General features: G+C 41.0%; 1 protein-coding gene across 5 annotated transcripts in view; it reads right to left on the reverse strand.

Annotated features, from left to right (window-relative positions):
* ULK2 (unc-51 like autophagy activating kinase 2) overlaps nucleotides 1-12,917 on the reverse strand; it is a 97,107-nt gene that overhangs the window by 11,007 nt on the left and 73,183 nt on the right. For 3 of the 5 annotated variants that reach the window (NM_001142610.2, NM_014683.4, XM_017025425.3), the window contains exons 21-23: nucleotides 4,101-4,250; nucleotides 1,861-2,069; nucleotides 53-231 (exon numbers count right to left, since the gene is read on the reverse strand). In NM_001142610.2, the coding sequence (NP_001136082.1) occupies nucleotides 53-231; nucleotides 1,861-2,069; nucleotides 4,101-4,250 (538 nt within the window). The remainder of the gene's footprint in view (nucleotides 1-52; nucleotides 232-1,860; nucleotides 2,070-4,100; nucleotides 4,251-12,917) is intronic. The other 2 variants (XM_047437147.1, XM_047437148.1) reach the window with 2 other exon arrangements.

Below are 12,917 nucleotides of genomic sequence, written 5' to 3' on the forward strand. Positions count from 1 at the left end.
AGTTTAGACAAAGCATGAAAAGTCTGGAAATGAATGACAAGGGGGCACCCACCCCCAGTCTTTGCTCAGCTGACTGATCTGGTCCACCACCACACTCTCCTGGATCTGGTACAAGGACACAGCAGATGTGCACAGCTCAGGGTTTCCTCCCCTCATGGCTGTCAGGTCCAGCACACACTCAGTGAACATCAGCATCACATTCAGATGGCGTAAGGTGTCTGTGTGTTCCCGCTGCAGCAAAGTCAATTTGTCTTAGAAAATTTCAGATTAAAAATACGTACATACTCATTTCTGTACATAAACCATGGCCGCTGATCATGTTTTCTATACTTATGAGTATCAGAATGACAAAAGGAGATTGAAATTTTTAAATTTCAGAAAGCTGGTAAGAAAATGAACACAAATGAAACCAAATATAGGTATATGCATGTGTTTGTGTATGTGTATCAGAGTACCCACATAAGTAAACTCAGGATGGGTCGCTGTGCTTTTACCAGAAAAAGAAAAGAAAGCTGAACGATTAAATCAATATACATGAGACAAAAACGTGACAAGGTAGACACAAAGATTACAAGGATACTATAGGTGCTAAATCACACTTCTTGATACTGTATTGAATTCTGCTGACTTCTTATAATTTCAGAGTTGCTTTATTTAATTTCTGGTCGTTTTTCAGTTAACAGTGATTACTAATACCAAAGCTCTAACTTTCTGTGATCTTTTCAGTTAGTTAAAGAGGGGAGTGTGGGTAGACATAACAGCATTCAGAGGGCTGTCATTTAAAAATGGGCATTCTAGGCCGGGCATGGTGGCTCATGCCTGTAATCCAAGCACTTTGGGAGGCCAAGGCGGGTGGATCACCTGAGGTCAGGAGTTTGAGACCAGCCTGGCCAACATGGCGAAATCCCGTCTCTACTAAAAATACAAAAATTAGCTGGGCGTGGTGGCATGTGCCTGTAGTCCCAGCTCCTCAGGAAGCTGAGGCAGGAGAGTGGCTTGAACCCAGGAGGTGGAAGTTAGAGTGAGCTGAGATCGCACCACTGCATTCCAACCTGGGTGACAGAGCAAGACTCTGTCTCAAATAAACAAACAAACAAACAAACAAATAAATAAATAAATAAATGGGTATTCTAGATTGTTGTTTTGAGATTTGTTTTTAGTTATAAATGCATTCTGAAATCTCAAGCCTAAAAGTTTCCCACTCTTTTATGGTTAAATAAAGATGAGAATCATTTTCCTAGTGACAGGAGAATAAGCCAATTGACTTCTAAAAGTCTCTCTGCTCTGTGACAGCATATTGCACTGTATGTTTCAATACACTGGAACATGCAATAGAATGTACTAGAATGCTCACGCCTGTAATCCTAGCACTTTGGGAGGCAGAGGTGGGCAGATCACAAGGTCAGGAGTTCGAGACCCGCCTGGCCAACATGGTGAAACCCCGTCTCTACTAAAAATACAAAAATTAGCCGGGCATGGTGGCGTGTGCCTGTAATCCCAGCTACTCGTGGGGGCTGAGGCAGGAGAATTGCTTGAACCCAGGAGGCAGAGGTGGGAGTGAGCCGAGATTGCACCACTGCACTCCAGCCTGGGTGACAGAGCAAGACTCTGTCTCAAAAAAAAAGAAAGAAAGAAAAACACAGAATCTATGTGTTTCTTCCTATAAACCAAAGCTTATTATGGATGAGTGTCACTGTCAATGTTAATTTAAAAAGACATCAGCAATACTTTTCAAACAGAAAAGGCACGTTAAAGAGAACATAACTTCCTAACTATTTAATGTATTTTGTTCTTGTCATCACTAGAATGTTCTCATATCAAATCAACATTACATTCACACCACTATAGTCTCTTTTCTACCTCCATCAGCGTCTCCTCCGGCAGTTCAGGGGCTTCAAAGGTGATGAGCCCCTCTAGGCTGGGGGGTGAAGCACCGTAAGGCACGTATCTCAGGCTGGGAGCTGCCTCTGCTCCTGGAGGGGAAGAGCCGAAGCCTGGGCCAGGCGGGGACCCCACGCACACGCGGCCACTCATGGCACAAAGAGAGCCCCCGGAGTTGCTGGGCCCCACTACAAGGAAACAGAGGATACATGGCAGTGTCCAGAGTTAGGGCTTTCACACCCACTCCTACTCTTATTTACTAAACAAACCTGCTGAGGTGACAAAGGAAAGTTTCGTTAAAAGAAACTCACTGACCCCCTATGTACTATTTGAGGATATTAATAGTTTTTACTTATCCATGTTCATTGTTATTCCTTGTCTATATATTTTATATTAGACATCATCAGAGCTAGTTTTTTTATACTCTGTTTTAAACAAATTTAGATCATATTCATTTCTCCTTGCTGCTCCACAGGGCCTCATAATTATAAAACTCAATGGATGCACTGATTCATTAAATTTATATATATTATATAATGTTTATCTGGAGTCATTTATACTATTTCTGATTTTATTCATATTACAAATAGCACTGTAATGAAATGCAGACAGTTGTTCCTTCTTTTGAATAATTTCTTTGTGATAAATACTCTGAAGTGGTATAAGAAGGAATGGAATTAGCATAGATCAATAAATATTTTTACAGCTCTTCCTAAGAACTGTTATAGTACTCTCTAACGCAGCCCTGAGTAAGCACATAGATCCTACTAAACCTCAATAACACTGGACATGATACTTTTTTTTTTTTTTTTTTTTTTTTTTTTTTGAGTCAGGGTCTTGCTGTTGCGCAGGCTGAATTGCAGTGGCGTGATCACAGCTCACTGCAGCCTTGATTTTCTGGGCTCAGGTAATTCTTTCACCTCAGCCTCACAAGTAGCTGGGACTATAGGCGTATGCCACCATGTCTGGCTAATTTCTGTATTTTTTTTGTAGAGATGGGGTTTCACCATGTTGCCCAGGCTGGTCTCAAACTCCTGACCTCAAGTGATCCTCCTGCCTCGGCCTCCCAAAGTGCTGGGATTACAGGCATGAACCACCATGCCCAGTCTTGGGCATTGTACTTTTTAAGATATAGGTATAGTTAACAGATATAAAATGTTACTTTCGTAAAATGGTATTTTCTTATTATTCAAGGTTTTTAATCGTCTTAAAAACATAATTTTAGATCTATTTTCTCTTATCTATTTCTATCCTTTGCTTATTAACCTGGTCTCTTGATCAGCAACTTATTTAGAATAAGATAACTTGACTCATGATACAACAGATAAGACATCAAATTATTGATTTCAAGTCCAATCTAAATACTTTCTTAAGTTTTGGTATTAACCTATTTACAGATTATAAATGATAAATCTATTAGCCTTCTAACTGTATATAGGATTAAGTGCAAAGATTGAGACCCAAAGTACAAAAAATTAAAAATAAATAAATAAAACAAGTTTCTTTCTTTTCTGAAACAGAGTTTCGCTCGTTACCCAGGCTGGAGTGCAATGGCGCAATCTCGGCTCACTGCAACCTCCACTTCCCAGGTTCAAGTGATTCTCCTGCCTCAGCCTCCTGAGTAGCTGGGATTACAGGTACCTGCCACCACACCTGCCTAAATTTTTGTATTTTTAGTAAAGACAGGTTTTCACCATGTTGGCCACGCTGGTCTCGAGTTCCTGGCCTCAAGTGATCTGCCTGCCTCAGCCTCCCAAAGTAAGTGCTGGGATTACAGGCATAAGCCACCTCACCTAGCCAAAACAAGTTTCTTTAAAAAAAAAAACCAAAAAAAAACCAAACCTATAATTTTCAAATAATTTATTGGATCTACTAAAGTAACCCTTTAATATATAAGCTGAGAAGAACCATATACGATTTGCTTCTTCACGAAGAAGTCATATTTATACTATATGTCATTTTGTAAAAACATATACAACATATATTTATATTTTAATATATAATATAGCACTTTACAAAGTTTTTTTCCCCACAAATGATGCCTCATTTACTTCTTATAACCCATTAAGATAAAGAAAATAGTAATCTCCATTTCACTGGTAAAGAAACTGAAGCCCAGAGAATTAAGTGACTTGTCCAAGTTACAACACTGAGTCATTTGTCAAAACACTACATTCCAAATACTAGCCAAAGACTGTAATATAACAAATGCTCCTTACCTGAGGTTGTTCTTGTTCGAAGGAACATGTGGGTACAAGTGGGGGCTGCCGCACTGTGTGGAGGAGACCCTACAGTGAAGAGGACAGCCTTGGAACTTGCTGCTGTACCTGCAGGAGGTGCCAGAACACCACCACAGGCTCCTGCCGGAGCTACAACAAAAAGTTTATAGAAGGTCATATTACCCTGATAGTGTTTATATCTGGGAGATGGGATTGCAGGGGGATACTGACTTTTATATCAGGAGTCTAGTGGTTTTTTTTTTTTCCCTCTTCTTACAAAAAGTACTTATTGCTCTTAAAATCAGAAAACGTAATACAATATTTTCATTAAAATAACTTATAGTAATCTCAAGTGTGAATCTTCTTCACACCAAAATTTAGCATTCAGAGTTATGTTTGTATACTTCTAAAATACATGAACTGTAAGTTATACATGTTGAAGACAGTACTAAAAAAATGAACGCCAAGAACTGGGAATAAAAACAGGTTAAACTAGGGTAGGTGTGGTGGCTCATGCCTGTAATCCCAGCACTTTGGGAGGCCAAGGCGGGTGGATCACCTGAGGTCAGGAGTTCGAGACCAGCCTGGCCAACGTGGTGAAACCCTGTTTCTACTAAAAATACAAAACTTTGCCGGGCATGGTGATGCGTGCCTGTAATCCCAGCTACTCAAGAGCCTGAGTCAGGAGAATCTCTTGAACCCAGGAGGCAGAGGTTGCAGTGAGCTGAGATCATGCCACTGCACTCCAGCCTGGGTGACAGAGTGAGGCTCCGTCTCAAAAAAAAAAAAAAAAGAAAGAAAAGAAATCAAAATAAAGACATTCCCAAATAAACAGAAGCTGAGAGAATTTACTGCCAGCAGACCTGTCTTACAAGAAATACAAAGGATAGCTCTTCAGACCAAAAGTAACTAACTCCAAATAGTAATCCCAATCTGTAAAGATAATTACAAAACACAAACTGTATATTTCTTCTGTTAACTGATTTTAAAAAGCAACTGTATAAAACATGTATACAGTTGCACTGTCAGGTCTATAGCATATAGAAATGTAATGTTCATTTATTTACTTTTTTTTTTTTTGGAGACGGAATCTCACTCTGTCGCCAGGCTGGAGTGCATTGGCACGATCTCAGCTCACTGCAACCTCTGCCTCCTGATTCTCCTGCCTCAGCCTCTCGAGTAGCTGGGATTACAGGTGCGTGCCACCACGCCCAGCTAATTTTTGTATTTTTAGTAGAGACAGGGTTTCATCATGTTGGCCAGGATGGTCTCGATCTCTTGACCTTGTGATCCGCCCGCCTTGGCCTCTCAAACTGCTGGGATTACAGGCGTGAGCCACTGCGCCCAGCCTTAGTTTTTATTTTTTTAGAGACAGGGTCTCCACCTGTCACCCAGGCTGAAGGGCACTGGTGTGACCATAGCTCACTGCAGCCTGGAACTCCTGAGCTCAAGTGATCCTCCTGCCTCGGCCTTCCACAGTGTTGGGATTACAGGCGTGAGCCACTGCACCCAGCCAGAAATATATTTGATAATAAGAACATAAAGGAGTCAGATGGGAGTAAAACTATATTAGAGTAAGGAAGTGACACCAGATGGTAACTCAAATCCACAAAAACACACCAAGATAACCAGAAATGATAAGTAAGAAAGTTAATATAACAAACTATAAATACATACTTGCTTTCTTATCTCAGCTTCTTTTCAAAGACATAAAATTACAAACCAGAGTAAGATGGCAAAATAGAAGGCTCCACCAATTGTACAACCCACCTCCCAAAAATTTGCACACAATAAAGCACCTTCATAAGAACCAAAAATCAGGTGAGTAATCACAGTACCTGGTTTTAACTTCATATCACTGAAAGAGGCACTGAAGAGGGTAGGAAAGGCAGTCTTGAATCACCAGCACCACCCTCCGCCCCTCCCCTGGCAGCAGCTGTGTGTGGCAAGGAAATAATCTGTGTACTTGGGGGAGGGAGAGTGCAGCAATTTGGGGATTGCACATTGAACTCAGTGCTGTCCTGTCACAGTGCAAAGGAAAACCATGCTGAACTCAGCTGGTGTCCGCCCACGGAGGGAGCATTTGGACCAGCTGTAGCTAGAGGGAAAGTGCCTGTCTGAGTGGCCAGAATGTGAGTTTCTGCAAGCCTCACCACCACAAGCTAAAGCGCTCCGGGTCCAAGTGAACTTGAAAGGCAGTCTAGGACACAAGGACTGCAATTCCTAGCCAAATCCTGGTGCCGTGCTGGGCTTAAAGCCAGTGGATTGGGGCATGACTTAGAGAGACATCAGACAGGGCTTCTAAGGGAGTGTTTGTGCCACTCCTCCTCCCAAACCCAGGCAGCGCAGCTCACAGCAACAAAAGTGACTCCTTCCTTCTGCTTGAGGACAAGAGATAAAGGTAAAAAGGGCTTTCTCTTATGTCTTGGATACTAGGCTCAGCCACAGTAGGACGAGCCCCGGGCAGAGTCGTGAGACCCCCATCCCAGGCCCTAGTTCCTGTTGACATTTCTAAACACACCCTGAGCCAGAAGTGAACTCACTGGCCTTGAAAAAAAAGACCCAGTCCTGGCAGGATTCATCACCTGCTGACTGAAGAGTCCTCGGGCCCTGAATAACCAATAATACTACCCAGGGAGCATGCTTGGGCCTTGGGTGAGACTCTGAGACATGCTGGCTTCAGGTAGCAGCTTGATTACAGTGGGATAGAGCACCAAGCAGGCTCTTGGGGTTCCCAAGTCTAGGCCTAGGCTCTTGGACATTTCTGGACCTGCCCTGAAGGGTGGGTCTTAGGCCTAGCAGCACTCAGCACATGCTGACTGAAGAGCCCTTGGGCCTTAAGTTAACATCAGTGGTGGCCTGGCAGAACTCCTTGTGGGCCATTGGTGGTTACAGCCACAGGGATAGGTTCCTCTGCCTGTGGAAGGGGCAGGAAAGACCGGGAAGGACTTTGTCTTGCGGTTTGAGTGGCAGCTTAGCTGCAGTAGGATACAATACCAGGTAGATTTCTAAGGTTTTTTATTCCAACCCCTGACTCCTAGATAGCATCTCTGGACATGCCTGGTGCCTGGGGTACTTGTTGCCCTGAAAGGAAGGACACAAACCTGGCTGGTTTCACCACCTGCTGATTGTAAGTCCTGGGGCTTGAGCGAACATAGGTAGTAGCCAAGCAATGATTAAAGAGGGCCTTGGGCAAGACCCAGGGCTGTGCTGGCTTCAGGTCTAACCCAGGCAGTTCCAGTGGTGGTGGCCACAGGGGTGTTTGCATCACCCCACCCCCACCTCCAAGTAGCTCAGCATAGAAAGAGAGACACGCCATTAGTTGTTCACCTTTTGATAAAAAGTTAGGGAAGAGAACAAAAGTCTCTAGCTGGTAATCCATAGAATTCTTCTGGATCTTATCCAAGTCAATGAGTCTGCAAGAACTACAGCATTATTGGGCTTGGAGCCCAAGTCCCGTCAAATACCTGGAAAGTCTCCCCAAGAAGGACGGGTACAGATTGCAAAGCCCAGGCTGTGAAGACAACAATAAATACCTAACATGTCAATGCCCAGACACGGACAAAAATCTACATCAAGACCAGCCAGGAAAACATGAACTTACCAAGTGAACTAAATAAGGCACCAGGGACCAATCATGGAGAAACAGATACATAACCTTTCAGACAGAGAATTCAAAATAGCTGTTTTGAGGAAACTCAAGGAAATTCAAGATAATATAGAGAAGAAATTCAGAATTCTATCAGATAAATCTAACACAGACTGAAATAATTAAAAGAATCAAGTAAAAATTCCAGAGGTGAAAAATGCAATTGACACACTGAAGAATGCAATGGAGTCTCTTAATAGCAGAATTGATCAAGCAGAAGAAAGAATTAGTGAGCTTTGAAAATAGGCTATCTGAAAATACAGAGGAAACAGAAGAAAAAAATGAAAAAGAATGAAGCAAGCCTACAAATCTAAAAAAAGCTGCCAAAAAAAAAAAAAAACAAAAACTAAGGGTTATTGGCCTTAAGTAGAAAAGACTAAACAATGACCCGATCAAAAATAATAACTACAACTTTTCAAGACATAGACAGTACAATAACATATAAAGAGAAACAACAAAAAGTTAAGAAGCAAGGAGATAGAGTATTTTTAGTTTTCTTATTGCTTGTTTATGCAATCAGTGTTGTCATCACTTTAAAATAATGGATAGGGCCGGGAGTGGTGGCTCAAGCCTGTAATCCTAGCAATTTGGGAGGCCAAGACAGGTGAATCACCTGAGGACAGGAGTTCGAGACTATCCTGGCCAACATGGTGAAACACTGTCTCTACTAAAAATACAAAAATTTGCCAGGTGTGGTGGCAGGCGCCTGTAATCCCAGCTACTTGGGAAGCTGAGGCAGGATAATCGCTTGAACCCAGGAAGCAGAGGTTACAGTGAGCCAAGATCGTGCCCTTGCACTCCAGCCTGGGTGACAAGAGCGAAACTCCATCTCAAAAATAAAAAAATTGAATTAAATTGAATCAATGGATAGTATTTACAAGCCTCATGGTAACCTCAAATAAAAAAACATACACTGGATACACAAAAAATAGAAACCAAGAAAATCAGTGATACCACCAGAGAAAATCACCTTCACTAAAAGCAAGAAAGAGGGAGGGAAGAAGGAAGGAAGGAAAAAGAAGACCAGAAAACAAATAACAAAATGGCAGGATTAAGTCCTTACTTACCAATACAAACATTGAATATAAATGAACTAAACTCTTCAGCCATGAGTTAAAAGACACTGAGTGGCTGAATGGATTAAAAAAATAAGCCCCACCTATCTGGTGCCTATAAGAAACACACTTCACCTATAGAGACACATGTAGACTGATAATAAAGGGATGGAAAAAGATACTCCACACAATGGAAACTAAAAAAGAGCAGGAGTAGCTATACTTACATCAGACAAGATAGATTTCAAGACAAAAACCATAAAAAGGGACAAAGGTCATTATATAATGACGAAGGGGTCAATTCGGCAAGAGGATATGACAACTGTAGATATATACGCACCCTACACGAGCATACAGATATATAAAGCAAATATTGTTAGAGCTAAAGACAGAGATAGACCCCAATACAATAGCTGGAAACTTCAACGCTCCACTTTCACCCTTGGATAGATCATCCAGACAGAAAATCAACAAAGAAACATCAGACTTAATCTGCACTATAGGACCTAACTGATATTTACAGAACGTTTCACCCAATGGCTGCAGAATATACATTCCTCTCAGCTTATGGATCATTCTCATATGTTATGTCACAAAACAAGTCATAAAACATTAAACAACAACAACAACCAGGTGTAGCGGCTCACACCTGTAGCTGCAGCACTTCGGGAGGCTGAGGCGGGCAGATCACTTGAGGCCAGGAGTTCGAGACCAGCCTAGCCAACATGGCAAAACCCTGTCTCTACTAAAATTACAAAAATTAGGTGGGTGCAGTGGCTCATGCCTATAATCCCAGGACTCTAGGAGGCCGAGGCAGGCAAATCACATGTGGCCAGGAGTTCCAGACCAGCCTGGCCAACATGGTGAAACCCCGTCTCTACTAAAAATACAAAAATTAGCTGGGTATGGTGGCACACACCTGTGGTTCCAGCTACTCAAGAGGCTGAGGCAGGAGAATCACTTGAACCCAGGAGGAGGAGGTTGCAGTGAGCCAAGATTGCACTAATGTACTCCAGCCTGGGCAACAGAGCGAAACTCTGTCTAAAAAGAAGAAAAAAATTATAAAAATTAGCCAGGCATGGTGGTACACACCTGTAATCCCAGCAACGAGGGAGGCTGAGGCACAAGAATTGCTTGAACCTGGGAGGTGGAGATTGCAGTGCACCAAGATCGTGCCACTGCACTCCAGCAACACCCTGTTTACAAAAAAAAAAAAAAAAAAAAAAAATGAAATAATATCAAGCTTCTTCTCTGACTACCATGAAATAAAACTAGAAATTAATAAGAGGTATTTTGGAAACTATATAAATACGTGGAAATTAAACAATATGCTCCTGAATGACCAGTGGGTCAATGGAGAAAGGAAATTGAAAAATTTCTTGAAACAAATAATAATGGAAACACAACATACTAAACCTATGGGATTACAGTGAAAGCAGTACTAAGAGGGAAATTTATAGCTAAAAGTGCCTACACATCAAAAAAGAAGAAATCTTCAAATAATCTAACAATGCATCTTAAAGAACTACAAAAGCAAGAGCAAACGAAACCTAAAATTACTAGAAGAAAAGAAATAATAAAAATCAGGGAACAAATAAATGAAATTGAAACTAAGAAAACAATACAAAAGATCAAGGAAATGAAAGCTAGTTTATTGAAAAGATAAATAAAATTGACAAACCTTTGACCAGACTAAGAAAAGAGGAAACAAGACCCAAAAGCCCTCATGAATGGATTAATGCCATTATAAAAGGGCTTGAGGTCAAAGGACAAGCCCTCTTCTGCCCTTCTGCCTTCCATTATGTGATGATGCAGCAAGACTGTCACCAGATCAAGTGCCTTGAACTTGGACTTTCAGCCTCCAGAATGGTAAGAAAGTAAATTTCTGTTCATCATAAATTACGCAGTCTCAGATGTTCTGTTATAGCAGCACAAAATGGACTAAGACAGATTTCAATATTCACTAAGGTGATCTAATAATGCAATCTCCACCAAAAACCCGGCCAGTCTCTCAGAGCTTGCAGTGAGCCAAGATGATGCCACTGCACTCTAGCCTGGGCGACAGAGCGAGACTCCGTCTCAAAAAAACACAAAAAAACAAACAAAAAAAAACCCAGCCAGTCTCTCTACAGAAACTGACAAGATGATGCAAAAATTCATATGGAAACTCAAGGCACCCCTAATAACCAAAACAGTCTTGAAAAAGAACAAAAAAGAAAAACTCGTATTTCCTGATTTCAAAACTTAAGACAAAGCTACAGTAATCAAGGCAGTATGGTACCAGCATAAATTGACATATAGATCAGTGAAATAGTTAAGAGTCCAGAAATAAACATATTTATAGTTGTATTAGTTCATTTTCATACTGCTATAAATAACTGCCCGAGACTGGGAAATTTATAAAGGAAAGAGGTTTAATTGACTCACAGTTAAGAATGGCTGGGAAGGCCTCAGGAAACTTACGATTACAGTGGAAGGCAAAGGGGAAGCAAGGCACTTTCTTGACAAGGCAGCAGGAAGGAGAAATGCCAAGCAAAGCGGGGAAGAGCCCCTTATAAAACCATCATATCTCGTGAGAACTCACTATCATGAGAACATCATGGGGGAAACTGCCCCCATGATTCAATTACCTCCACCTGGCTCTCCCCTGACACATGGAAATTATGGGAATTACAATTCAAGATGAGATTTGGGTGGGGACACAAAACCTAACCCTATCAATGGTCAACCGAGTTTTGACAAGGCTAGCAAAACAACACAACAGGGAAAGAATAGTCTTCAATGGTGCTGCGACCACTGAATAGCCCATCCAAAAGAATAAAGCTGGATCCCTTCACCACATCATCCATATGAATTAAGTCAAACTGGACCACAGACATAAGCATAAGAGCTACATCTTACACTTTTAAAATTAGAATTATAAAACTCTTGGAAGAAAATACAGAGTTAGGCAAGGTCCAGATGCAATTTAAGAAGGAGTGTATAGGGAAACCCAAAGACAACCGGAGAGACAAAAACAAGGATACCAGAGAAAATTTTAGCCTCTGATACCTACAGCTACAGCAAACACTAAATAAAGCTTAACTCCTGGCCAGATAAACAAAAAACCTCACACTAAAGGCCTATTTAACTCAGTTTTTAAACAAAGTACATCATACCCAGCCTCAATTAAAAGGCATGCTAAAAGGCAAAAGTACAGTTTGAAAAGAGAGAGCAAATCAAACATCAGAACCAGACTCACATATGGCAGAGATACTGGAATTGTTTAATACCACACTGGGAATTTAAAGTAATGATAATTAATATACTAAGGGCTCTAATGGAAAAAGTGGACAACATGCAAGAACAGATAGGTAATACAGACAGAGAGATGGAAACTCAGAGTCAAAAGGAAATGCTAAAAATCAAAATCACAGTAACAGAAACAAAGAATGCCTTTGATGGACTCATCAGTAGACTGGACTTTGCCAAGGAAAGAATCAGTGAGATTGAAGATATGTGAATATCTTCCTGAAACTTCCTGAACTAAAAAGCAAAGAGAAATAAGAATGAAAGAAGAAGAAGAAGAAAAAAAGAACAGACTAAGAACAATGGAGCCAGTGCCCAGCTAGCTCAGTCAGTAGAGCATGAGACTTTTAAGAACAATGAGCCAACTATAAGAGTAGAACATATACTTAACGGGAATACCAGAAGAATGAGAGAGAGAAGCAGAAGAAACATTCAAAGCAGTAATGGCTGAAAAACTTCCAAAATTAATGACAGAACAAAACCACGGACCTAGGAAACAGAAAACACCAAGCAGAATGAATATGAAAAAATCTGCACCTAAGCATATCATATTCAAACTTCGGAGAATCAAAGACAGAGAAAATTTTGAAAGAAGCCAAGGACAAAAACACACCTCACCTACAGAGAACAAGGGTAAGAATTACATCAGACTTCTCTTTAGAAACTATGCAGGGAAGAAGATAGTACAGTGAAATATTAAATCCTACAGTATTCTCTTTGGATTAGAAAGAAACGATGCTGGCTCAGATATTTCCTCCTTTGGATGCTCATGGGGAAAATTAAAAAGTCATAGAGAAAAAAAAAAAAAACAAGGAGATTACAATA

The sequence above is a fragment of the Homo sapiens genome, chromosome 17, assembly GCF_000001405.40.
Source record: "Homo sapiens chromosome 17, GRCh38.p14 Primary Assembly".
Taxonomy (NCBI): domain Eukaryota; kingdom Metazoa; phylum Chordata; class Mammalia; order Primates; family Hominidae; genus Homo; species Homo sapiens.